This window comes from Homo sapiens, chromosome 20 (genome assembly GCF_000001405.40).
Source record: "Homo sapiens chromosome 20, GRCh38.p14 Primary Assembly".
Classification (NCBI taxonomy): Eukaryota; Metazoa; Chordata; class Mammalia; order Primates; family Hominidae; genus Homo; species Homo sapiens.
The window spans coordinates 47,219,830-47,247,401 of record NC_000020.11 but is presented as its reverse complement, the minus strand read 5'-3'; the positions used below and the strand labels follow the sequence as shown (position 1 = coordinate 47,247,401).

Below are 27,572 nucleotides of genomic sequence, written 5' to 3'. Positions count from 1 at the left end.
TGCACACCGAGTGGCAGTTGACTTTCCACGAGTGCAGGGAACAAGAGGGAGGGCTGGGCACCCGGGTCACCTGGAGACAAGTGTGTCCCCCGCCTAGAGGAGCCAGTGGCTTTCCTGTTCCAGCCAATGCCTGGCAGGCTGGTGACCCAGAGCGGCTAGATTTTCCGCTCTTTCATCAGAAGCCCCTGCTTTGATTTCTATATGAAATTTCCTGATTTGTGAGTTGGACAACACATTTATAAATTAAAAGCAGACAAGATACCCTGTGGGCCAAACCAGTGCCTCTCGCATGAAACATGTCTGCAAGCTAGATGTGGCTTGTGGGCTGTTTGCAACCTCTGCTTTAAGGCTTTGGCTTATTTTCTTTGGCCTAGACACAAAGGATCAAGAACTTTAACCCTTTGGAAACCCAAGGGAAGAGTGTTGGTGGGGAGCCAGGAACCCGGGGTTCTGGCCTGGCCTCTGTCTTGTGTCCTAGGGCAGGTGATATCCCTGGGCCTCTGTTTTCTAATCTGTAAATTGGATCAGTTTGAACAGCTTGTCCCTGCTGTTCCCTTCCAGCCCTCTTCATTCTCAATAATCCCAATTAGTTATCAACGTTGCAAAAATTTGGCACCACATGTTTAGTGCCATATAAATTTAAAATCTCCGTTGGTAGGTCCTGTGTCTCCTAACAACCAAAACCCTCTCCCAAGGCAAGTACCACTTGGCAGCCGTAGCCAGTTGCCACTTGAGATTATTACTGGCCCCATTTAGGCCAATGTGATGCGATTTGAAACGTGCTTTTCTTATTCCAGCATTTGGTGTGGAAAAATGTTTGCATTTTTCATCCTGCTCTTTATTTTGTGACTACGCCACATGCTGGGTTTTCTTTTTGAATTTAGGCATAAATGAAATCTCGGAAGATGTCTATACGGCCGTAGAGCACAGCGATTCGGAGGATTCTGAGAAGTCAGATAGTAGCGATAGTGAGTATATCAGTGATGATGAGCAGAAGTCTAAGAACGAGCCAGAAGACACAGAGGACAAAGAAGGTTGTCAGATGGACAAAGAGCCATCTGCTGTTAAAAAAAAGCCCAAGCCTACAAACCCAGTGGAGATTAAAGAGGAGCTGAAAAGCACGTCACCAGCCAGCGAGAAGGCAGACCCTGGAGCAGTCAAGGACAAGGCCAGCCCTGAGCCTGAGAAGGACTTTTCCGAAAAGGCAAAACCTTCACCTCACCCCATAAAGGATAAACTGAAGGGAAAAGATGAGACGGATTCCCCAACAGTCCATTTGGGCCTGGACTCTGATTCAGAGAGCGAACTTGTCATAGATTTAGGAGAAGACCATTCTGGGCGGGAGGGTCGAAAAAATAAGAAGGAACCCAAAGAACCATCTCCCAAACAGGATGGTAAGTGATTGTATCTGTTTCCAGTTTTCTTAATTTGGTTTAGAATCCTACCTCGTACACTTACTATCAAAAGTTATGTGACCCTTAAAGAAACAAATCAGAAGTTATGTGACCCTCTAACACACTGAGAGAGAGGCACAGTGAAGCTGTGTTTGGTTTAAGGTTGCCTAGCTAGTCATAGAACAGGACCTGGACTCAAACATGGGCCTGCCTACCTTTAACCTGCTCGGTATCCAGTATGATTGATTTTGAGTACAGAAAGAGAAGTCTGTTAGAAAATGATGGTTACTTTTAGTGACCAAGTCATTTTTAGTCTGAGCAGCTTCTTTTCCAATATGCTCATTTATTTCCCCAAAGTGTTTGTTAACATTTGGATCTTGTCAAATGGTCCTTCAGTGCTGCATTCCACAGACATCTCATTCTCTTTTGACAAGTCTCAAACGGTTAGGAGTGTTCATTTCAAGCTGGGCATGGTGGCTCACGCCTGTAATCCCAGCACTTGGGGAGGCCGAGGCGGGTGGATCATTTGAGGTCAGGAGTTCAAAACCAGCTTGACCTACATAGTGAAACCCTGTCTCTACTAAAATACAAAAATTAGCGGGGCGTGGTAGCAGGCGCCTGTAATCCCAGCTACTCGTGAGGCGGAGGCAGGATAATCGCTTGAACCCAGGAGGCGGAGGTTGCAGTGAGCTGAGATTGCGCCACTGCACTCCAGTGTGGGTGGCAGAGCAAGACTCCCTCTCTAAAAAAAAAGCAGTGTTCATTTCAAAGGTTTTGATGATTTCAGCTTTGCTTTCCTCCCCTCATGCCACCTAGGCATCTCCAAGTGTATTTTCTTACAGTAGTAGGACAGTATTTGGGTGATTGGTGCCAGAATACTGAGTGCTTCTTAGGGCACTAGAAAATGGAGTATGGTGGATATGTGTATTGGCTTTTTTGGGGAGGGGGGGCGGACAGAATTTGGCTCTTGTCGCCCAGGCTGGAGTACAATGGTACAATCTCGGCTGACTGCAACCTCCGCCTCCCGGGTTCAAGTGATTCTCCTCCCTCAGCCTCCCAAGTAACTGGGATTACAGGCACCTGCCACCACGCCTGGCTAATTTTTGTATTTTTAGTAGAAACAGGGTTTCACCATGTTGGCCAGGCTGGTCTCAAACTCCTGACCTCAGGTGAGCCACCCAGCTCGGCCTCCTAAAGTGCTGGGATTACAGGCATGAGCTACTGCGTCTGGCCTTACTGGCTTTTAATCTTATTTGCATTTAACTTAGCTCAGAGTTTCACAACCTTGCACTTCTGACAGTTTGCCCTGGCTAATTCTTAGTCCTGTGTATTGGAGGATGTTTTCCAGCATCCCTGGCCTCTACCAGCCAGATGGCAACCTTACTTGCTCAGTTGTGGCAGTCACAAATGTGGCAATCAAATATTGCCAAATATCCCCTGAGTCTCAGAGGCTACGGTTATATTCTGAACCAGCAGTGACTACCCCACAGCCTAGTGCAGCCTGGGCATGTTAACAAGCCCAACAAAAGGGGTGTGGGAATGATTGGAAGGATGTCCTTCCCACTGACAAAGTATTCAGCACATTTTTGAGTTGGCTTGGCAATTAGGTTAGAGGATTCAACATGCTCAATAAAGATACTGAAGAATTAACTAAGGGCCCAGAAGAAACATTGCCCCAGGACAAATTACAGGTTGTAGCCATAAAACCTTATGTATGTGGCGAGTGACTTAAGGGATAGCCAGGTTTAAATCTTGACTGTGCCTAACTTCTATCAGGAGCTAACTTGTCAATGAAACCCTTGAATAAGATGTAACTCCATGTCCTTTGGGGTTTCCATTGTCTGGTGGCTTAAAGCAAGTCAGGGATGGGCCTTGAGAATCTTTCTGCTGTGGTTATGGTCAACCTGGGCTGCTCTGGAACCTCAGCTGTCAGAGTGAGAGAGGATTCCTGCAGTTCAGCTAAAGAGAATGTCTGTGAGAGGTACAGTGGAGGAAGAGAGAGATACAGTTACATAAGGGAGGGAGGATAGGCCATCAAACCATCCCGACCCATCTGTTAGATTTATAGATGGCCTCTGAAAAATATGAGTATGTTATGGATTGGGTTTTGAGAGACTGTCTCTGTTGTTGCAGAGAACAATAGGAGTAGCATTTATTTCATGAGGATCGTAGGAATATTTGGGTGCAGATGGCAGTGCTCCTATGAGTGACATATTTATACTGTTCTTTCTTTCTGGAACAGATCTTTTGATTGATTGGTTTTGTGCCCCTACCTCTTCCAGAAAGAATTTGCAACAGATTGACAAGGATACATAACCATATGAAACAAGATGAAAATAAAGACATCCATGTAAAAGGAAAATGAAGGTAGAATAGCAAGTGGTCTGGGGAAAGGTTTTATACAGAAATCTGTACTATTTCAATCTTCAGAGTTAGGGAAGTTGGCTCTGAAAGCAGAATGGGAAACACAGTACCTTAGAAGATCTCATACTTTCCAAAAAAACAAAAAACCATTCTAGTTGATTAAAAGAAGTAGAACTTTTCCTCACATTGATGTCTGAAGGGAATTTCTCCAGGAAGCTTTAGTAGATGGTGGACAATTAAGCTGAAGATGATTCTAAAACACAGTTCAGTTAGAGCAGCTTCCTAAGGCTTGGGGCAAAACCAATTGATCTTAAATTCAGAGCTGATGGTGGTTTGGGTCTTGAAAAATTCTCGTGTCAGACTCCGCTAGAGAGCATCTTTTCAATGATGTGTTTTCACTTAAGAGTTTAGTAAGTGAAGGGCATTTTGGATTGCGCTGTTGTGACCTCCAGCTTACCTTCCACTAGGGATGCAGCTTATGGGTAGAATATGAATCTTCAGATGGCAAAACAGCTTTTATAGCTAATAACCTCAGAACAGAAGCAAAGAGAGCACACTTAGACTCTTCGCTGTGCTTTCACTGGCACATCAGTAATTTCCATCCTTCTACAAAGGGGATGCTAATTTTTCTCTTAAAAAGTCCTTGCTTTATAAATGAAAAACAGTGACCAGTGACAAATTCAGGAATTAAGTAGGTTAATTTGATAGGGCAGCTTCTCAGGTGCTGACCCTTTAAAAAAAAATTCACCCTTTTTTTCCCGCTACAGGTGATTGATTATGTACTCCAGATTTCTGGGACAAATGAAATTTCCTGTAGCCTCATTTTGTCTCCATAAACCATCAGGATTCCTGGAAATTTAAATATTTTGATATCTAAATAACTTCAAACAATTTTGAGCCTGGAATCTTATCGGATTGTATACTCTAGTTCTTTATTTGGCAGAGAGCCAGCTGTGATCACTGCAGAGCAGTAACCCCTCCGCCCTGCTGGCTGTTTGCTTTTGCAAATCAGGAGAGAGAAAACGACCATTTTGCGGTTGCCCTTACGGTGGGGAGACAGGCTAGCTCATCAACAATAACAGTATATTTTTTGGTAATGTGGCAGGAAAGGAAGGCATTGAAGGCACTTACGTGGGTTAGAAGCTCTGCTAAGGCACTGCCCCCTGCCCTCCTCTTAGAAGGGCCCAGTTCAACACCTCATCTCCACCTGGAAGAGGCGGGGACTGTGCCCCATATCTGGCAGGTGGCCCTGGAAGCATCGGAGTTCTTCACTGCAGGAAGCTCTCCTTCCAGACCCACCCCAGGCTCTTGCTGACCAGCTTGGCTGGATTCTCCTCTCTGGGGAAGTACAAGGGCCAGCAACATCTCGATAACCATCGAGAACGCCCTCTGAAGTCGGGATAGTCAGCTTGTCTCTTTCCCTCCTTGGCTTCTTAAAACCCACAGCTTACTGAATGAAAATCCTTGCTGGAGTAATCAGGCTCATGTCTTTTTCTGGGTAATACTGATCTTAAAAAGACAGACATAGGCCGGGCGCAGCGGCTCACGCCTGTAATCCCAGCACTTTGGGAGGCCGAGGCGGGTGGATCACAAGGTCAGGAGATTGAGACCATCCTGGCTAACACAGTGAAACCCCGCCTCTACTGAGAATACAAAAAATGAGCTGGGCATGGTGGCGGGCACCTGTAGTCCCAGCTACTCGGGAGGCTAAGGCAGGAGAATGGTGTGAACCCAGGAGGCGGAGCTTGCAGTGAGCCGAGATCGCGCCACTGCACTCCAGCCTGGGTGACAGAGCAAGACTCCATCTCAAAAAAAAAAAAAAAAGAAAAGAAAAAGAGGCAGACATAATCCTTATTTAAAGGAGTTTGATGTCAGGGAGCATAGTCCAAGATCGGGGTGCTGGCTTGTACCTGGGTGTGGTGTGTGTTCCCCAGATATCCTCTCTGGGGCATAGGCTCACCTTACCGGGGGCTGAGGCCTGTGCATCCATAACTGAGCCACCTTTACAAATGAGCTCCCGTGTGGTCATCGCCTCTACGTGCTGCTCAGTGCTTCTGGCTCTAACCTCCCTTCCAGCCCCTCCTCCCTGCCTGCCCTCACTTACTCAAATGCTCTGTATTCCTAGACATATCTTGGCTGATGCTGTTCCCTCCAGATTCTCACTTTCCGCCTGTTGAAATCCTACCCTTTATTCCCCACCAGCCCAGCTCCTCCAAGATGACATACTCCATATGGCAGCGTTTTTCAAACTTGAGTCATTCACATTCATTGTCTTTCCCGTTCTCAAGTCCTGCTTGTATAATTTTTGACTTTTTTTATTTAAAGAATCTTTTTTTTTTTTTTTTTTTTGAGACGGAGTCTCGCCCTGTCACCCAGGCTGGAGTGCAATGGGGCGATTTCGGCTCACTGCAACCTCTGCCTCATGGGTTCAAGCGATTCTCCTGCCTCAGCCTCCCAAGTAGCTGGGATTATAGGCACACACCACCATGCCCGGCTAATTTTTTGTATCTTTAGTAGAGATGGGGTTTCACCATGTTGGCCAGACTGGTTTCGAACTCCTGACTTCGTGATCTGCCCGCCTCGGCCTCCCAAAGTGCTGGGATTACAGGCGTGAGCCACTGCACCCGGCCAAGAATCTCATTCTTTAAAAATAAAATTAAGCTCATTTAAAGCGGGACACAGTAGCACGTCCCGTGTAGTCCCAGCTATTCGGGAGGCTGAAGTGGCTTGCTTGAGCCCAGCCGGGGTGATATAGCAAAACTCTATCTCTTTAAAACATAAAATAAAATAGGCCGGGCACGTTGGCTCACGCCTGTAATTCCAGCACTTTAGGAGGCCAAGGCGGATGGATCATGAGGTCAGGAGTTCAAGACCAGCCTGGGCAAGATGGCGAAACCCCGTCTCTGCTGAAAATAAAAAAAATTAGCTGGGTGCGGTGGCAGGCGCCTGTAATCCCACGTAGTCGGGAGGCTGAGGCAGGAGAATCGCTTGAACTCAGAGGGCGGAGGTTGCAGTGAGCCAAGTTTGTGCCACTGCACTCCACCCTGGGTGACAGAGTGAGAATCCATCTCAATAAATAAATAAAATAAACTCATTTTATTTACTTTTCATTTATTATTATTATTATTTTGAGACGGAGTCTCACCCTGTCACCCAGGCTGGAGTGCAATGGCATGGTCTCGGCTCCCTGCAACCTCCACGTCCCGGGTTCAAGCGATTCTTCTGCCTCAGCCTCTTGAGTAGCTGGGACTACAGGCGCCTGCCACCGCACCCGGCTATTTTTGTATTTTCGGTAGAGACGGGGTTTCACTATGTTGGCCAGGCTGCTCTTGAACTCCTGACCACAAGTGATCCGCCCACCTCAGCCTCCTAAAGTGTTGGGATTACAGGCGTGAGCCACTGCGCCCGGCCTATTAGTAATATTTTTTGAGACGGAGTCTCACTCACTCTTTCTCACAGACCGGAGTGCAGTGGCGCGATCTCGGCTCACTGCAACTTCCGCCTCCTGGGTTCAAGGAATTCTCCTGCCTCAGTTTCCCACCACGTCTGGCTAATTTTTTTGTATTTTTAATAGAGACGGGGTTTCCCCATGTTGGTCAGGCTGGTCTCAAAATCCTGACCTCAAGTGATCCGCCTGCCTCAGCCTCCCGAAGTGCTGGGATTACAGGCGTGAGCCACCGTGCTTGGCCTCATTTTTTTAGTAAAAAAATTTCCCCTGAAAAAAGCATCTGCAAGTATAAACTCATTTTAGACTTGAACACCACCCAATAAGAACAGTAGCACACAGTATACATAAAAGCTGGTGATAGGAATAAATCCAATCAAAACCAAAGCAATGCTACTCAATCCTAGATCAGTACCATTGCGTTGGGGGAAGGTTCTGGCCTTGGGGCAGAATTTGTTTTCCTGGTATTGTCCTGGCTATCAGTACCGCCTTCAAACTTTGTCCTGGAGGGAATCAGAAGAGATGAAAAGAATACTTTTCTTTCTGGGTGACTGAGTGTTACTGCTTTGGCCATTGGGAGGCCATCTGGCTCTTTGGAGGTATTGCTTTCTACGTTCCCTAGCCAAAGAATTGCTCTTCCTGTCTGGATTGACTTCCGCTGGGCCCTTCTCAAGGTGCCGACTAGATTTTAACTTTGCGAAAAGGGCGTGAACATTGAATCTGTTCGCCCACCGCATTGTCCACTAGGTGTAGGGGAGCTTGAGCGCAGGAGCCGGGTCTTGTTTGCCTCATTCTCCCCTAGAGGTCTTGACTTGTATCTCAGATGTGGGCCGGCGCTCAGTAAAGGAGGCCGCTGCTCGCGGAGATGGAAGACGCCGCAGAAGTGGCCTCAGCGTTAGGTGAGAATGTACTCCTCCAGCGCGGTGTGCTTGGCACGTCGAATTGGTTCGGCATTCCTGGCTTTCATAGGTTTTACCCAGAACTTGGTGGCGTCAAGACCGTGCAGGTGAACCTGAGTGAAATCCGGTTTTTGTTTGTTTTTTCTTCATGCATTGGCTAGTTGTAGGTAAAACTCCACCATCCACGACGGTGGGCAGCCATTCTCCCCCGGAAACACCGGTGCTCACCCGCTCTTCCGCCCAAACTTCCGCGGCTGGCGCCACAGCCACCACCAGCACGTCCTCCACGGTCACCGTCACGGCCCCGGCCCCCGCCGCCACAGGAAGCCCAGTGAAAAAGCAGAGGCCGCTTTTACCGAAGGAGACTGCCCCGGCCGTGCAGCGGGTCGTGTGGAACTCATCAAGTAAGTTTCAAACGTCCTCCCAAAAGTGGCACATGCAGAAGATGCAGCGTCAGCAGCAGCAGCAGCAGCAGCAAAACCAGCAGCAGCAGCCTCAGTCTTCCCAGGGGACGAGATATCAGACCAGACAGGCTGTGAAAGGTACCGAGCCTCCCCTTCTGTTCTCCGTGGCGCCCGCTCCCATTTTGCCACATCGACAGGAGAAAGTCATTGCTCTTTTATTTTTTTTTTTTAGTTCTCGTTTGTTTCCGGGCCATTGTATCTTGAAGGCCTTGCACATTCCATTTGGCATTATTTTTAAAAATTGTTTTGCTACTTGCTTTTTTACTTTCAAAAAGTTTTTTTTGTTCATTTTATAAATGATACATGCATATATTCTCCTTAAAAAGGGGGCAGAAAGTTTTACATAAAAGTCTGTTATCCCGTTTACCTTCCATTTCATTCTCTTCCCTTCCACAGTGGCCAGTATCAACCGTTGTAAAAGCTTTTCTATGCATGTATGCATGTATATGTATATATACATATCTGTATGTATATATGTGCGCATCATGTATATGATGCCATAAAATTAGTCCTTTTTCCCCCCTTTTTTTCTTTTTTAAAACATAAAAATGGTACCATACTTGCTTTTTTCCCCCACCCATCAGCATGTTTTGGAGGTCCATCCACATCAGCACATACAGCCCTGCCTTGTTCTTTTGGACTGCTGCATAGTATTTCATAGTTTATTTAAAGCATTCCTCTACTAATGGGCATTTAGGTTGCTTTCAGTTTTTTTTCTACTGTGAGCAGTGCTGCAATGAATATCTTTGTATAAATTTCCTTGTGCACATGAGGGAACCTCTTGGAGTTATTTTGGAAAAAGTACAGTGCGAGAAGTTGATAGCGAAGGTTACCTTAGTAACTGGAGATTCGTCACACACACAAGATGAGCCAGCCTCAAGAACCACTTGCTGAAGTTGCAGAATCAGAACTCCCACCAGTCCTGCAGGAGGCTCCATCTGGAGCTGAAATTAGGCCAAACACAGTGCTGATCTGACTGGTTGGTACCAGTTTGCCTGGCTTTTGTGAGCATTGATGTAGATCTTTCTACCAGGAAACCTGCATCTAGATCCTCAAAGGCTGGGTTCTTCAACTGAAACTCATAGTGAATGCGCCCCTGTGAGGGGGGCTCATGAGCAGCAGAATGTGAGGTTGAAAGGTGGCCAGGTCTTGAATTGGCCCCCAGTGAAACCCTTCACAGATGGCGAGGGAGTGGGTCCTGAAGAATTGGCCAGGCAAAATTGAGAGTACAGTTGGATTAATCTTGCTATTTAAAAAGTTGGTGGGGCAAAGCCGAGTCTAGGATATTTGAGATTGGGATTGCGGCTTCCTGTCTTCTGTCTTCATATCTCATAAGCAGGAGACTTCCCCAGGGGAGTTTAATTGCTACCAAGAAGAGGGTCGGGCGTGGTGGCTCACACCTGTAATCCCAGCACTTTGGGAGGCCAAGGCAGGCAGATCACTTGAGGCCAGGAGTTCAAGACCAGCCCAGTCAACATGGTGAAACCCCATCTCTACTAAAATGGAAAAAAAAAAAAAAAGCAAAAAACTAGCCGGGCATGATGGCACATGCCCGTAACCCTGGCTACTCAGGAGGGAGGCATGAGAATCCCTTGAACCTCAGAGGTAGAGGTTGCAGTGAGCTAAGATTGCACCACTGCACTCCAGCCTGGGCGACAGAGTGAGACTGTCAAAAAAAAAAAAAAGAGCGCTGCCAAAAAGTGGCTCATTGCTTCAGATTGTCTTACGCCAAAGTAAAGCCTAGTTAAAGGGGTAAAGACCAATTTAAATTGGTAATATGCTACTGTAATAGGGGCAAGAGTCTAGCATAAGCTGAAATTAACTTTGATTTGTACAGGGGTGACTGGACATTTTAAAGGGAGAATGAGGGAGTAGGGATGGGAGCGAGTTGGGCCTCAGTAGAGTCAGGGAAGTTAAACATCTTGATTTGCTAACGGGCACTTCATGAAGTTGGGCCCCTACTCTCCCATAGACACTGGGATGCTGAGGTCCTGTCTTCAGGTGTTGGCTGGAACAAAACTGTCAGTTCTTTTGCCAGCATTGAGTTTTCCCAGGCAGTCGCTTTAAGAGGGGGTTGGGGTCATCCTAGCATGCACTCTTGAGCTCTTAGAAACTGTCAATGTTTGCTCAAGTCTTTCCAGGCCAAGGTTAGGGCCTAGTTGAGAAACCTGGATAGAGTTTGGTCAAGGGGAGCATCTTTGTCATTTAAAAGTAGAAAAGCTCTCAGGATGTCTATTAGGGGCTTTGCTTCTACACCACAGCTTTGTGCTGGGATGGGTCCTTCCCACGTGGGGTAATCAGGATGCTTTGCCTTCCTAGCTGTCCAGCAGAAGGAGATCACACAGAGCCCATCCACGTCCACCATCACCCTGGTGACCAGCACACAGTCATCGCCCCTGGTCACCAGCTCGGGGTCCATGAGCACCCTTGTGTCCTCAGTCAACGCTGACCTGCCCATCGCCACTGCCTCAGCTGATGTCGCCGCTGATATTGCCAAGTACACTAGCAAAGTGAGTGGATGGGAGAGCTACCGTGGAGATGGCAGACACCTGGCAGGATGCCAGAATCTTGGTCTCCCGAGGGGAAGCGTGAGCGTCTTAACCTTGCAGTCTTTAGGGAGTGAAGACCCTTTTTTTTAAAAACAGAATCTCCAAGACCACGTTCTTTAATTTGGGTCTAACAGAGAAATGTAGAATGGACTGAATCTTACTCCAAGTGGGCTTAGATTCTAAAGTCAGTTCATAAAGTGCAAATGACATAATCAGAATTACCTTCGAGAATTCAAGTCACTCATTAAGGCACTGGAACACATGACTGATCCTTCAGTGAACAGCTGACCAGGGGTTTGGTTTGCATTTAGAGCTTTGCATGTGGAGCAGAAGTGACAGAGACTTAAACATGAGACTGGCAAGGTGAGATGCCCACACTTTGATTTTTCCAGGAATCAAGATGGATGGGGAGGGGGACCAAGGGGACTCCCTCTCCCCTGTCTCCTGCCCTCTGGGGCACAGTCCCCATTAAGTGGCATGGTGGGCAGGATTGCCTGTTGTTGGTGAACTCATGGGAACTGTCTCAGCACAGGCCCCTTCTTTTTTTCTCTTAAGTTGCCAAGTGCTTTTTTTTTTTTTTGAGATGGAGTCTCACTCTGTTCCCCAGGCTGGAGTGCAGTGACACAATCTCGTCTCACTGCAACCTCCGCCTCCTGGGTTCAAGCAATTCTCCTGCCTCAGCCTCCCAAGTAGCTGGGACTACAGGCACGCGCCACCATGCCTGGCTAATCTTTGTATTTTTTTAGTAGAGATGGGGTTTCGCCATGTCGACCAGGCTGGTCTCAAACTCCTGACCTCGGGTGATCCACCCACCTCGGCCTCTCAAAGTGCTGGGATTACAGGTGTGAGCCACCAGGCCCGGCCTGCCAAGTGCTTTTATGGTCACTGTTGAATTCAGGTAGATACCATCTGCAGTTCTCAGCGTCATGTGAGAGTGCGCTGGACTGATGTGCTGTGTATCTTGTCATTAGACCACGGTGGTAATAATAACCACCAGAATGTCAGGTCCACAAAGGCAGGAATTTTTGTCTGTTTTGCTCACTGCCAAGGCCTAGAACAATGCCTGGCATGTAGTAAGTGCTTGACCCATAGTTGGGCTTTGTTTTTATTGGCTTCAATTATTATCAATAACTTAATAATAGCTATTGATTTATAATCTACTGAGATTAGTTAGTAAATTACTAAGTAGTTAATAATTTATTCTTTACTGATGAGTAGATTACTAATACTGATGAGTAAACAGTTCTAGTTTTTAGAATGGATGAAAATAATTGAGGATGGTTGTTTCTAGAATTCTTTCTTTTTAAAAAATGCAAACAGGGTCTCATTTTGTTGCCCAGGCTGGTCTCAAACTCCTGGCCTCAAGTGATCTTCCTGCCTAGTCCTCCCAAAGTGTTGGGATTACAGGTGTGAGCCACCACACCCAGCCTGTTTCTAAAATTCTTATAGTCTTAATAATAAAGAGTTAGCTTTATTATATTGAGTTAAGGGAAGAGGAATCTTTTAAAATTCTGAGTGGTGAGAGAAATATATATGAATTTTTTTTTTTACACAAATGAGTTTTCATTGGTCATGTTTCTTTTTATTTCTTCTGTGTAGGTGTAATTGTTATCTATTGCTGCAGAACAAATTACCACAAAACTTAGCAGCTTTAAACAGCACACACCTTTATTATCCTACAGTGTGTGTGGGTCAGGAATCTGGGCATGGCTCCACGGGGCTCTCCGCTTCAGGATCTCTTGCAGTTGCAGTCATGGTGTCTGCAAGGGTTTGGGACTCACACAAAGGCTCAACTGGGAAAGGATCCACTCTCAAGGTCATTTAGGTGGTGGCAGGCAAGATTCACTTCTTGAGGGCAAGTGGCCTGGGCCACCCTCAGTTCCCTGCCATGTGGGCCTCCCCAGCATGGCAGCTTGCTTCATCAAAATCAGCAATGGAGGCTGGGCATGGTGGCTCACACCTGTAATCCCAGCACTTTGGGAGGCTGAGGTGGGTGGATTGCATGAGCTCAGGAGTTCAGGACCAGCCTGGGCAACATCGTGAAACCCCATCTCTACCAAAATACAAAAAATCAGCCTGGCATGATGGCATGCGCCTGTAGTCCCAGCTACTTAGGAGGCTGGTACACGAGACTTGCTTGAACCTGGGAGGTGGAGGTTGCAGTGAGCCGAGATCTTGCCACTGCACTCCAGCCTGGGCTACAAAGCGAAACTGTCTCAAAAGCCAGCAATGGAGAGAGCCTGCTGGCAAGATGGAAGTGACAGGCTTACTTAGGCCAGTCACAGAAGTGACACCTCATTACGTTTGCTGTATTCCATTGGGTAGAAGCAAGTTGCTAGGTCAGAGGGAGGGGATTACAGATGGGCACAAAATATTAGTAGGTTGGGATCATCGGGAGCCCACTTAGAGTTTGCCTACCACATAAGGTAGCAATATGTCTGCATAGCATTTACTCTAGGCTAGATGCTGTCCTAAGCACTTTTTGTATGTTACTTACTCAGTCTTCTTGACAAATTGATGAAGTGTAGGTACTGTTATCACCCCAATTTTATAGATGAGAAAACTGAAGCCCGGTGAGGTTACACAGTGTGTCTAGGGTCACAAGCTAGTGAATGGCAAAGCTGGACTTTGAATGATAGCAGCCAGGCCCTAGAGAGTGTGCACTTAACCTGGCTTTGAACTGCTTTGTGCATTTCAAACAAGCCTGCTGACCACAAATGTTCATGGTCCACAAACTGTTGCCACATGACTTTTATAAGCAACTCCTCTTAGGATTCAGTGTGGCTGTTTGAGCCAGTGGCTGTAACCGCAGCACTTTGGGAGGCTCAAGTGGGAGGATCCCTTGAGGCCAGGAGTTTAAGACCAGCCTGAGCAACACACTGAGATCTTGTCTTTACAAATAAAAAAAAATTAGCTGGGCCTGGTGGCACATGCCGGTAGTCTCAGCTATTCGGGAGGCTGAGATGGGAGGATTACTTGAGCCCAGAAGTTTGAAGCTGCAGTGAGCTGTGATTGCACCATTGCACTCCAGCCTGGGTGGACAGAGCAGGACCCTGTCTCAAAAAAAAAAAAAAAAAAAAAGCCTGGTGCGGTGTCTCACACCTGGAATCCTAGCACTTCGGGAGGCCCAGGCGGGTGGATTGCCTGAGGTCAGGAGTTCGAGACTAGCCTGGCCAACATGGCAGAACCCCGTCTCTACTAAAAATACAAAAATTGGCCCGGTGTGGTAGCAGGCACCTATAATCCCAGCTACTCAGGAGGCTGAAGCAGGAGAATTGCTTGAACCCAGGGGATGGACGTTGCAGTGAGCTGAGATTGCGCCACTTCACTCCAGCCTGGGGGACAGAGCGAAACTCCTCTGTCTCAAAAAAAAAAAAAAACAAAAAAAACAAAAAAAAACATGGGGGAGGTTGTCATGAAAGTGTTAAAGGCATAACAGCACCAAACTGAGACTTCTTGCTGAAGCAATCTGTAGGATTATTAGAGAATTGAAAGCGGGTAATTTTTTCGTTAGTGATATAAGTAGGTGTCTGGTTTTGCCTGAATGATCTCTTGTTCTACCTTCGGTTGTCCTTACATCACCTTCCCTTGATTTAGTCCCAGCTGTTTGCTTATGAATGGGAAAGCTGAGGCCTACTGAGTGGGTCTGATTAGTGGTTTGCAGGAAGGCTGTTTTCTCAGCTCCTGCAGCCATTTTAATTTTGTTACCTTCTGCATCCCCTTTGTTCTTTAAAAAATTACTAAAAGAAATTTTTTTTTTTTAGAGTTGGGGTCTAACCCTGGTGCCCAGGCTGGCCACTCCTGGGTTCAAGCGACCCTCCCACCTTGGCTTCCCCAGGTAGCTGGGTCTTCAGGACCCCAGCTCCCCTTGACACTTTTGGCAAAACTTTATTTATTTATTTATTTATTTATTTATTTTTGAGACAAGGTCTCACTCTTAGCTGGAGTGCAGCAGTGTAATCTCAGCTCCCTGCAAACTCTTCCTCCCAGATTCAAGCGATTCTCTCGCCTCACCTTCCCAAGTAGGTGGGATTACAGGTGCCCTGACCACCACACCTGGCTAATTTTTGTATTTTTGGTAGAGACGGGGTTTCACCACATTGGCCAGGCTGGTCTCGAACTCCTGACCTCAGGTGATTCGCCTGCCTCTGCCTCCCAAAAGTGCTGGGATTATAGGCGTGAGCCACTGTGCCTGTCCAGGAATGACTTTTTTGATAAGTGTTTTCTTTGAAGTTAAAAAAAATGAACACAGTGACATTTTTTGGGAGCTGATGAACTTTTCCTGTCTCTGAGTTGACCTGGAGTGGAAGACGCAGTTCTGTGTGTTTTGGCAAAGTGGTGTTCTTTACCGATGTTGAAGTCTTTGCTATATTTGGAAGTTAAGAGTAAAAGGCAGTCCATGAATGCATGATATCTTTGAAGTGGAATGTGACCATTACATTAGCAATGTATTGAATTTCACCCACTTTTTAAAGTTTTCTTGTAAAGCCATTTAGTTGTAATTTTTAAAATGGACACAGTGGGTGCAACAGAGCAAGGAGGCAAGTGCAGGAGGGCTGCAAAGCCGTGGAAAGCGCAGAGTGTTTTTGCTGGCAACGGCCTGGTGTGGGCTCCGCAGCAAGCCGGGAGCGGAAATCTCAACAGAGATTTTATTCATTTTACTCCATTTTGGGGTGAATTTGGGCCTACTATTTTGGGGTTTGGCAGCAATTACGCAATTGCATACTTACATGAATTTCTTTTTCTTTAAAAATAAGATGAATGGGTATTTCTTTATGAACACCTACTCCGTGGCAGGTAACGAGCTGCAGTGTTTGCGTGGTTTTTTTCATTTAATCCTCGTGCACACCCTACCGGGGCGGCATGCAGTTCTTGTTTTTTTGTGGGGAAACCGAGGCTTAGAGGCAGTGCATAGTGAGGCATCAGATAGGAGGCTGCTCTTTGTCCCGCCTTCTCCCTGAATTGGGGCATCTAGAAAGCACTGGAGAGACTCAGCACCAGTCAAGCCAGGCCTGAGACAGAGCCTGATCTCTTGTCCCCTCCTCTTTCTGCTGTAATGGGGGAAGAGTCAGCTGGCAGGTGGGAGGTAGAAGAGAAATTCATCCTATTAACATAGTCAGCAAATCCCTGGGTGCCTGCTGCAGGGACCTTAGCTGATGTCACCAACTGGCTGATGCCTTCAGGGGTCAGATAGTTAAAGATGGGAAATGAACCGCAAAGACAGTGTCCTGACTGAAGGCATTAAAATGACAAACCAGCCATATCTGTAAAATGGACTATAAAAAGGAATGAAGTTCCGCTGCCTGCTGCAGCACGGATGCGCGAGTCACAGAGGACCTTGAGTTGTGTGATTCCATTTATATGACATGTCCAGACTGAGCAAATGTGGAGAGACAGAAGGCAGATCAGTGGTTGTCAGGCGCTGGGGGAGCGGGGGATGGGATACCAGGAGGTGAAGACTAAGGCCGGGGGAGTGGGATTTTCTTTTTGGGGTAATGAAAATGTTGTGAAATGATTGTGGTGACAGATACACAACTCTGAGGTACTAAAAGCCATTGAATTGTATACTTTAAATGAATGAATGGTATAGTATATGCATATACCTCAATAAAGCGGTGCTGGTTTTTTGACGGGAAATAATGAAAACCAAAACAAAGTAATCCTTCTCTCGAACCTACTGTGCTGGGCAAATAAAAGACATCTGGGGGTCAGGCACAGTGGCTTCAGCACTTTGGGAGGCCGAGGTGGGTGGATTACTTGAGGTCGGGAGTTCAAGACCAGCCTGACCAACATGGTGAAACCCCGTCTCTACTAAAAATAGAAAAAAAATTAGCTGGGTGTGGTGGTGTGCGCTTGTAATCCCAACTACTTGGGAGGCTGAGGCAGGAGAATCGCCTGAACCTGGAGGCGGAGGTAGCAGTGAGCCAAGATCACGCCCCTGCACTCCAGTCTGGGCAACAGAGTGAGGCTCCATCTTAAAAAAAAAAAAACAACAAAAAAAACACCACACATCTGGGGGCCAAATTTGGCCTCTCCGGTTTCAGCCAAACTGTAGTATGGAAACTAGCTTTATGTGGGTATGGAAACTAGCTTTATGGTTATGAAGTGGCACCACAATGCGATCCATGAAATTTGTTGGAAATTTTTACCCCATTAATGCTGGGGTTTCTTAACCTCAGTGCTAGTGACATTTTGGGCTCGTAGGTCATTGTTTTTTGTGTGGGGTCCTTCCGTGCCTTTAGCATGGTTCAGGTAGGAAGTTTAGCAGTGTCCCTGCCTCGACCCTCTAGATGCCAGTAGCAGCTCCTTCTCCTTGCTCCTGCACCTGTCATGGCAACCAGAAATGCCCAGTGTCTCATGCGGGACAAAATTGCCCTAAGTTGAGAACCTCTGCTTTATACAGATAGATTTTAAGTATTTGTCACCAGGAAAAGCCTCCAAGAAGTGATCAGCTGAATTGTTTCTGTTTTTATCTTTCAGATGATGGATGCAATAAAAGGAACAATGACAGAAATATACAACGATCTTTCTAAAAACACTACTGGAAGCACAATAGCTGAGGTCAGAGATGACACATGAATTTCTTATTTGCTAAGAGTGTTTTGTGGGCTGCTTTAAAGGTGGTACCATGAAGAAGCTTCTCTGGAAACCCCTCTGGGGTCCTGGCTTGGTCACTAAGCTGGCTCTACTGATTGTCATTATCGATGGGGGTATTTTTTCCTTTAGCCAGACGGCTGGGGCTGTGGAGACATGCCCTGCTTTGTGTGATCAATTCATTTCTAATAAAACAGCCAAAATCAGAGCTTCAGTTAACCTACTGGTGAAACTGGACACCAGTTCTTTTTGCTTCATGTAAAACTGGCTCCTGAATCTTCTCTGGAAGTTTGGACTTTTTAATACAAGTGCTTCTTCTTGTTCAATAATTTGTGTACTGGAGTCTCCATAATTATGTGATTGTGTAGACAAGAAAGTGGTTAAGACATTTCATTGGCTGTGCATGTTGGCTGTAATCGCAGCGCTTTGGGAAGTTGTGGTAATCCCAGCGCTTTGGGAATCCTGAGGATTGCTTGAGGCCAGGAGTTTGAGACCAGCCTGCACAACATAGTGAAACCCCATTTCTACAAAAATTTTAAAAAAACAAGCAGGAGATGGTGGTGTGTTCCTGTAGGAAGCTAAGGCAGGAGGATTGCCTGAGCCCAGGAGTTTGAGGCTGCAGTAAGTTGTGATTGTGCCACTGTACTCTAGCCTGGGAGACAGAATGAGACCCTGTCTCTTAAGGAAAAAAAAAAAAATTAAGCTATCTACTTATAAAGCATCCGCTTTTAAAAATACACCTCCCTGAACTTCCCCTTTAGGCTAATTCCCTATCAGGGCTTGGAGAGTGGGCCACTTGCCGGCTGTCTGTGGATGGTACAATGTAGGCCAGATGCAAACGGGTTATCAGGTGAAATGACAAATGGCAGGACTTACAGAGGTCATTTAAGGTGACGTTGGGGAGCTGTGGGAATCCTTTGCAGAGCTATTGACCTTTTAGGACTTGGCAGCATTAGGCTGGTGCTCAGACGAAGAGGAGAAGATCTTCAGGAAGGCAACCTGGTGGTCCCTTCAACAGAAGACAATGTGAATACAAAGATTTAAGAGACCCAAGAAAAATCAATGAATCCCCTTGAATAGTTTTGCAAGTATGACCTTTATGATTATGCTTTGGACATCAAATAAGAAGGGAAAGAATAAGGCTTTAGAAACAGCTTCATTCTTGTTTGTATACGTTGTAAGAATTGGTGTGTGGTTGAAAATACAGGTTCATAATATCTCACCTGAAACCTGGGGTCTGGATGTATGCCAGAATTTTTTTTGGATTTTAGAGAGGTTATAATATGCAGTCCCCCACAATTAGAGACACCATTTCTGCAATGAAATGTGATTGTTCACACTACGTGAATTAATCAGGTTTTCTCGGCCTTAGCTATACTGACGTTTGAACCAGATAATTTCTGTTGTGGGGCTGCCCTGTGCATTCTAGGATGTTGAGCAGCATCCCTGTCAGCAACACTGCTCAATTGTGACAACCGCAAATGACTCCAGACATTCTCATGACAGGGGAGAGTACTCGAAATTGCCCCAGTTAAGAACTACTGCGATAATTAAACACTGTTTATTATTATTTTTTAAATTAAATTTTTTTTTTTTTTTTTGAGAAGAGTCTCGCTCTGTCACCCAGGTTGCAGCGCAGTGGCATGATCTTGGCTCACTGCAACCTCCGCCTCCCGGGTTCAAATGATTCTCATGCCTCAGCATCCCAAGTAGCTGGGATTACAGGCGTGCGCCGCCATGCCCGGTTAATTTTTGTATTTTTAGTAGAGATAGGGTTTCTCCATGTTGGCTAGGCTTGCCTTAAACTCCTGACCTCAGGTGATCTACCCACCTTGGCCTCCCAAAGTGCTAGCATTACAGGCGCGAGCCACCGCACCTGGCCAAAACACTGTTTAATTAGTTTCCTATCAGATCAGGTCGAGTTTGTTTGTTTATTTGCCCTTTCAAATGAGTTTGGATCCAAAGTTACACTTCCTCTGCCCAGAAATACCCTTTGGTTTTCAGAGATGTCAGGCTTTGGAATTTCAGGTGAATAAGTGTGGATCCCACCACCTAAATGTTATGTAAGAGTGAAAATCCAGCTATCTTTGTATTTGTTACGTATTTATAGACCAAAATCCTAAATAACCCTTAATATATTATTTATATGAAAGTCTGGTCCTTGTCACTTTAAGTGGCTTTCCCTCGTGCCAGTATTTCTTGGAATTGATGGCCTGTTTATACTTGGTTTTCTGAACCAGTGTTTCTGGTGAATTTGGGTTCACCCACCAGTGATCACCTCTCTGGACTATAGCTGTGGGAAGGTTAGCATGATTCCCATACCCCTCACAGCCAGCCGTGGTTGAGCTTCTGAGCCCTCCTGGTGAACTGCATGAGACAGCTTTTGAAGACGCTCACTCTCCCTCTTCCAGATTCGCAGGCTGAGGATCGAGATAGAGAAGCTCCAGTGGCTGCACCAGCAAGAGCTCTCCGAAATGAAACACAACTTAGGTAAGGCCTGACACACTGGTCTGGACTGAGGAGGGTTTTGGGTGTGAACTTCTTTGCACCTCTGGAGTCAAGCCGAGATGTGAGTGCAATTAAAGCTAGGCTAGGATTGTATGACTCGTAGGGAGACCACAGAATCCTGAGAGTCTGGGCCTGGAGAAACCAGGTGTAAGAGTGGGTGTTGGCGGGAGCCCCCCTTTCCTCTGTTCAGAACACCAGCCTCAACAATAAAATAATGAGGATTGGTCAGGCACGGCAGCTCACACCTGTAATTCCAGCGCTTTGGGAGGCCCAGATGGGAGGATCACCTGATTCCAGGAGTTCAAGACCAGCCTGGGTAATCTGGCGAAACCCTATCTCTACACAAAATTTTAAACCATTACCTGGGCCTGGTGGTGCGCTCCTGTGGTCCCAGCTTCTCGGGAGGCTGAGGAAGGAGGATCACTTGAGCCTGAGAAGTTAAGGCTGCAGTGCACTTAACTAATTTCATTACACAAACTGTTGTGATAAAGGGATCTGTTATATCCCTGGTTTTCCTTTCCTTTTTTTCACACTCCGCATGCGTGGACATATCCCCAGTTTTCAAGGGAAGAAACCGACGTGTTGAGGAAATTATTCAAAGTCACACGGCCACAGTTCAAGTCTGGGCACTCTTCACCCTGTTCATCATGGAATGCTAGGCACTTTAACAATATCTGGATGCTTCCTGTGCACTGCTCAGTGCGGAGAAAGATACTTTATTGGTCCCTGGATTAGATTGACAGATGTTTTGGCCTGTCGTTCTGTATAGTTAAGCTTTTCCCCAAAGGTAGAAGTGATTGCTTCAGCCCCTCACGTAGTATCAGATCAGATGGGCTGCTGGCAGCCAGGAGAACTCTTAGGTTGAGGACCCATGCCCAGGTGTGCCTACCTGCTCACTTGTGGTCAGCATCTAAGTCACACCTTGCAGACATGAATCCTTTCAGAGCCCCCTGGAGAGGAGCCCTTGGTTCATTCTTTCTGGACGCTGATTTGGGTGTTGTTGCTTCTCGTTTTCCTTTTTTTTTTTTTTTTTAAGACAGAGTCTCACTCTTGTTTCCCATGTTGGAGTACAGTGATGTAATCTCAGCTGACTGCAGCCTCTGCCTCCCAGGTTCAAGTGATTTTCATGCCTCAGCCTCCCGAGTAGCTGGGATTACAGGCATGCACCACCATGCCTGGCTAAGTTTTGTACTTTTAGTAGAGACGGGGTTTCAGCATGTTGGCCAGGCTAGTCTCAAACTCCTGGCCTCAAGCGATCCACCCACCTTAGCCTCCCAAAGTGCTGGGATTACAGATGTGATCCACTGCCCCTGCCACCACTTCTTGTTTTTCTAATAAAATCAGGGAATCTTACTTTCATAAAATCCTTTTCTTTTTATGTGTTGACTGCACATTTGAAAAAATTACCTGTGGGCTGGCCAAAACTTAGCTATGGTTTACAGACCCCTAGTTAAAGGTAGTTAGATTGACTCAAAGGTTCTGTCTGGCCACAGGTAGTTAACTTCTTTATGAGGGGTTAATTTTACTTTATAAAGTTCAGGAAGAGTATTTGAAGGAATTGAGGGACCATTCCCCTCCCATCCCCTCCTTCCCCTTCCTTCCCCTCCCTTCCCCTCCCTTCCCCTCCCTTGTCAATGGAGTTTCACTCTTGTTGTCCAGGCTGGAGTGCAATGGCATGATCTCGGTTCACTGAAACTTCTGCCTCCTGGGTTCAAGCAATTCTCCTGCCTCGGCCTCCCAAGTAGCTGGGATTACACCATCGCGCCTAGCTAATTTTTGTATTTTTAGCAGAGACAGGGTTTCACCATGTTGGCCAGGCTGGTCTCAAACTCCTGACCTCAGGTGATCCATCTGCCTCAGCCTCCCAAAGTGCTGGGATTACAGGCATGAGCCACTGCACTTGGCCTATTTTTCTTTTATTACAGCCAGCAGGTCACTCCTAAATGAATTACCAGTGGACTTAACTGTCTGAAGTAAAATTAGAGAAATCTTGGTAGACTGAGTAGGTTCATAGTTGTCCTGTTAGTATAATCATCAACCACAGTCCCATCTGGATCCAGTGCCACAGGAGACACCTACAAGAAAGCACGCCTGAGGTCTAGGCCCAGCTAGCTGTTTGCCTCGGTTTCCTCATCTGCGAAAGGGGTAGAATAGTAGTACTTACCCCGTAGGATTATTAGGATGAGGGTTATATGAGTTAATATTTATAAAGTTCTTAGAACAGTGCCTTCATGTAGTGGGTGCTGTATAGGTATTTGATTGATAGGGGGGAAAAGGCTTATGTTAATGAATAATAGGATAGAAAGTGAGTTTTGGTGGCAGTTGTTTCAAGGGTTACTTTGAGGAATTCCCAGAATGTAGTCTGGTGTGGAAAATCCTCTGGGGCTGCAGTTATGTCCATGCTGGGCACCTCATGTCCACTCTCAACAGGCAGCACCATCTGGTCACCATGATGAATGCCCTATTTACAGATGAAGACTCGGGCTAGGTTATTGCCCATGGGCACACAGCCAGGGCTTCTCCCAGCCAGGTCTTGCATCCACGTCTGCCTGAATCTGGGGGCAGGAATAACCCCACACCCCAGGCTGGGGTCAGGTGATGAGCGGTGTTCTTCCCCTCCTCCACCAGAGCTGACCATGGCGGAGATGCGGCAGAGCCTGGAGCAGGAGCGGGACCGGCTCATCGCCGAGGTGAAGAAGCAGCTGGAGTTGGAGAAGCAGCAGGCGGTGGATGAGACCAAGAAGAAGCAGTGGTGCGCCAACTGCAAGAAGGAGGCCATCTTTTACTGCTGTTGGAACACCAGCTACTGTGACTACCCCTGCCAGCAAGCCCACTGGCCTGAGCACATGAAGTCCTGCACCCAGTCAGGTAATGCCCTGTGGGGCTGCCTCCCGTCCTGGGCTGCAGTGGCTTGGCATTGGTCTCCCCTGTGGACTTCAGGGGTCTCAGGGCTAATTGTCAAGGGAGCTTGCCTGGCTTCTGGACACTTTCACTCAAAAACAATTGTGTCTTACACACAGGTGAGCAGTGTGCAGGCACATAGCTAAAACTTGAGCCATGGGCATTTTGAACCTTTGATCTTTGCAGAACCCTTGATCTCTTCTCAGGCCTAAAGTGTCAGTAGTACTGAAGTTGAGACACTGTGTTTTTTTTGGCAGTAATGGACTTGTGGCTTTAGATAATATGGATTCCCAATTTCTTTGTTAAGTAAAAAGTGTTAGTTTGGTACTAACCTATCTTTGACACTGCTGTAATATTTGTAATCACCCTTTCCAACATAGAACAAGCAGTCCCCAGGCCTAGAGCTTCCAGCAGGAAGCACTATCTAGTTAGAATTTATCCTTTTTTTTTTTTTTTTGAGACAGAGTTTCGCTCTTGTTGCCCAGGCTGGAGTGCAGTGGCGTGATCTCGGCTTAGTGCAACCTCTGCCTTCCGGGTTCAAGCGATTCTCCTGCCTCAGCCTCCCGAGTAGCTGGGATTACAGAAATATGCCACTATGCCCGGCTAATTTTTAGTATTTTTAGTAGAGATGGGGTTTCTCCATGTTGGTCAGGCTGGTCTTTAACTCCTGACCTCAGGTGATCCACCTACCTTGGCCTCCCAAAGTGCTGGGATTACAGGCGTGAGCCACAGCGCCTGGCATCAATAATATTTTATGAATTATTATTATTATTATTTTGAGACAGAGTTTTGCTCTTGTCCCCCAGGCTGGAGTGCAGTGACACGATCTCGGCTCACTGCAACCCTGCCTCCTGGCTTCCACTGATTCTCCTGCCTCAGCCTCCCAAGTGGCTGGTATTACAGGCACACATCACCATGCGCAGCTAATTTTTGTATTATTAGTAGAGACAGGGTTTCACCATGTTGGCCAGGCTGGTCTTGAACTCCTGACCTCAAGTGATCTGCCGGCCTCAGCCTCCCAAAGTACTGGGATTACAGGTGTGAGCCACCACGCCCAGCCTATAAGTTATTTTTTACCATTAGCTTTTATTTGTGGCAAATGATACTAGCTTTGTATGGTTGGAATTAAACACTTCCATTTTAAAGAATTTCAAGTGTCCCATAAATAATACAATAAAGTAGTATGTCTGCGGATTGGCAAAATTTGCAAAGGTGGTATGTAAATGACTCAAGTGTGAGAAGCTTGACCAGGGGTTGGTAAACTTTTTCTGTGAAGGGCGAGAGTGAATATTTTAGGCTTTGTACACCATGTGGTTTCTGTTGCTACTACTTAACTCTGCTGTTGCAGTGCAGAAGCAGTCTTAGATGATATGTAAATGGATGGACATAGATGATATATAAATGGATGGATGTGGCTGTCTGCCAATAAAACAGGCAGCACTAGCTTGCCAGCTCTTGCTCTAGACAAATCTGTTATTTTATTATTTTTTAAAAGGCAATATTGGAGAATACCTTGCCCTGTTCTTTAGTCTTTAGGGAGATGTCTTCTTTGTAGAGACTTTTGGTCTCTTACTGGAGTAAAGTCTCTTTGTGTTTTCCCTCCGTTCTGGAATGTGTCTGATGAGCCTTTTGCTGTTTTGCCAAGATGGCCAAAATGTCCTTCGGCTTTCCTTTTTTTGTGACATAATTACATCTGTTCTTCCTAAATTCCTCCCAGACGCGTTTTTCTTTTCCTTTTTTTTTTCGTTGAGACGGAGTCTCGCTCTTTCTCCCAGGCTGGAGTGCAACGGCGCGATCTCAGCTCACTGCAAGCTCCGCCTCCCGGGCTCATGCCATTCTCCTTCCTCAGCCTCCCTAGTAGCTGGGACTACAGGTGCCCGCCACCACGCCTGGCTAATTTTTTGTGTTTTTTAGTAGAGACAGGGTTTTACTGTGTTAGCCAGTATGGTCTTGATCTCCTGACCTCGTGATCTGCCCGCCTCAGCCTCCCAAAGTGCTGGGATTACAGGCATGAGCCGCCGCACCCGGCCCCAAACGCCCTGTTTTTCTATGTGTCCAAGTTTCTGCCATCTCCAGATTCTCTGGGCCTCTGATAGCATGTCGCCTTTCACGTGGTTTTCCTGTCCCACCTTAGAAGGAAGAAAGTCTCTGGGGCTAAAAATATAGGTCTCCACCTAGAAATGACTAAATAGAGTAACTAAATCAGCAGTTACAGGTTGGCTCTTGTTGATGGGCTTTATTTGTTCCAGGAATATACTTTCATCTCCAGAATGATTTAATAAAACTTGAATTGCTAACCATTAAAAATCAACATGTTGGCTAGGCACGGTGGCTCAAGCCTGTAATCCTAGCACTTTGGGAGGCCGAGGTGGGTGGATCACCTAAGGTCAGGAGTTCAATACCAGCTTGACCAACATGGTGAAACCCTGTCTCTACTAAAAATACAAAAAATTAGTCGGACATGGTGGTGTGCACCTGAGTCCCAGCTACTTGGTGGGCTGAGACAAGAGAATCACTTGAACCCAGGAGACAGAGGTTGCAGTGAGCTGAGATCGTGCCATTGCACTCCAGCCTGGCTGACAGAGCGAGACTCCATCTCAGCATGTTTATGTTAAAATTTGGAATTCTAAAGTTTGGAATTCCAGCTTCTGGAAAACTCTGGCAATCTGGCCCCCTTGAGCCTCCACTTTTATGCCCTGGGTAGGGCTGAGCCTTGGGTGCCACTGGGTGCAGGGCGGGGCTCCATGCATGTTTCAAAATCATCGTACTCTGTGTATATGTGGCGTCTCTCTCTCTCCTTTGTCCCCAGCTACTGCTCCTCAGCAGGAAGCGGATGCTGAGGTGAACACAGAAACACTAAATAAGTCCTCCCAGGGGAGCTCCTCGAGCACACAATCAGCACCTTCAGAAACGGCCAGCGCCTCCAAAGAGAAGGAGACGTCAGCTGAGAAAAGCAAGGAGAGTGGCTCGGTGAGGATCCCCCCATGCCTTTGGCTAGTGACATCTACCCTTTGTGCCAAGTGGACTTAGGACCCCCTGTCTGCCGCCCTGAAAGTTCCGTGTTGTGGGAGGCTTGTCCTAACAGTGTGCCGGCATTTCCAGTGGATGTGTGGGAACATGGAGCCTGGGCCGGCGTGTGTGGGACCTGGCAGCTGCTCCCCAGTACTCTCTGCTGGGGACCCTCAAAGTGTAGAATAGTGTTGCCCAGGAGAACTTTCTGCGATGATGGAAATGTTCTGTACTTCCCGTCCAGAATGGTAGCTGCTAGCTACATGCAGCTTTTGAGCACTTGAAATGCAGCTAGTGTGACCGAGGACCTGATTTTACAGTTTTATTTAATTTTAATTAATTGAGATTTCAGTAGCCACATGTGGCTAGTGGCTGCCCTATTGGGCCACGAAGGTTTCACCTCCTTGTTTGTTTGCCAGGGTGTGATGTATGTGACATTGATGGTATGCAAAGACTATTTTCATGAGTATATAGTTTTTTACATTTTTAGTCACTGTATATCTATTTCATTGCATATTAGGAAAAAGATAAATCGTTAGACTGTCAGTTAAAACATGTTGGTTTAACTGATAGTATTACCTAGTCAGAGGCTAGCATGAATTAAAAGCGGACTGACAGAATTTTGAAGTAATGTACTTTCTCCTTGGATATGGCAAAAATCTGGAGGGGGTTCTGTTAGTGAGTGGAGTTTAGGAAACAGTGAATGTTCTAGGGTACAGTGAGGGGCCACTCTGGTGCTGCGTTCCAGTCTGTTCAGTGTGGGAGATGGTACCTGGGGTTTGGCCACCTGGCCGCCCTGTGCCCATCACTCCCACCTGACCGTGCCAGGCAGAGGACACTGAGATGCTTTGGGGGCAGCGATGAGCACCCCCATGACTCCCTGGATTTCCCTGTGGGGGCGACAGTAGCCTCAGTGCCTTGAGTCCATCTTTTTCTTTTTGTATTTCTAGACCCTTGACCTTTCTGGCTCCAGAGAGACGCCCTCCTCCATTCTCTTAGGCTCCAACCAAGGCTCTGGTATGTTGCCCCCTGGTGGGCGAACGGTGCTTTCACATTTCAGATGGGCAGATGGGGAGCCATTTTGTCAGGGAGAATTTGAAGGGTTTATTCCAATGGTTTCCAAACGATTATGGATCCTTAGGGGTGCCTGGGGTGGGTCAGTGGGGGTGAGGGGGTAGCTGAGCATGTTAACTTTCAGGTACCTCTTCAAGCTGATCGGTATTACCTATTGTATTTACTGGGGATCCACATAAAACTCCATTTGGACAGAGGGTTCTGTTGCTGACCTGGGGTAGGGTAGAAGAAGTGCATTTGGATTGGGAAGTTTTTTTTTTCTCTCTCTCTCAGGGAAATGAGAACGGTAAATGACACTGTGTAAGATTTTATTCTGAGGTTCTGACACCTGCATATGGTGGATGAAGGCGCTCAAGCCTTTGAGAATTGAA

General features: G+C 46.7%; 1 protein-coding gene across 19 annotated transcripts in view, besides 2 other annotated features; it reads left to right on the top strand.

The window, feature by feature from the left end:
- Positions 1-27,572, top strand: part of ZMYND8 (zinc finger MYND-type containing 8) — a 147,486-nt gene that overhangs the window by 109,298 nt on the left and 10,616 nt on the right. For 8 of the 19 annotated variants that reach the window (NM_001281781.3, NM_183048.4, NM_001281777.3 and 5 more), the window contains 8 exons: positions 885-1,394; positions 8,264-8,506; positions 10,886-11,076; positions 17,596-17,676; positions 20,121-20,199; positions 22,846-23,085; positions 25,928-26,088; positions 27,078-27,144. In NM_001281781.3, the coding sequence (NP_001268710.1) occupies positions 885-1,394; positions 8,264-8,506; positions 10,886-11,076; positions 17,596-17,676; positions 20,121-20,199; positions 22,846-23,085; positions 25,928-26,088; positions 27,078-27,144 (1,572 nt within the window). Of the gene's footprint in view, positions 1-884; positions 1,395-8,263; positions 8,645-10,885; positions 11,077-17,595; positions 17,677-20,120; positions 20,200-22,845; positions 23,086-25,927; positions 26,089-27,077; positions 27,145-27,572 lie in introns of all 19 variants that reach the window. The other 11 variants (NM_001281784.3, NM_001281778.3, NM_001281783.3 and 8 more) reach the window with 3 other exon arrangements.
- Positions 12,569-13,069: an enhancer, noted in NCBI's record as "H3K4me1 hESC enhancer chr20:45863077-45863577 (GRCh37/hg19 assembly coordinates)". NCBI's record gives its function as "activates a minimal SCP1, AML or CMV promoter by ChIP-STARR-seq in primed H9 embryonic stem cells {active_cell/tissue: H9 hESC(primed)}" and the evidence as "EXISTENCE:reporter gene assay evidence [ECO:0000049][PMID:30033119]".
- Positions 14,510-14,579: an enhancer, noted in NCBI's record as "active region_17981". NCBI's record gives its function as "activates an Ori minimal core promoter by ATAC-STARR-seq in GM12878 lymphoblastoid cells {active_cell/tissue: GM12878}" and the evidence as "EXISTENCE:reporter gene assay evidence [ECO:0000049][PMID:35858748]".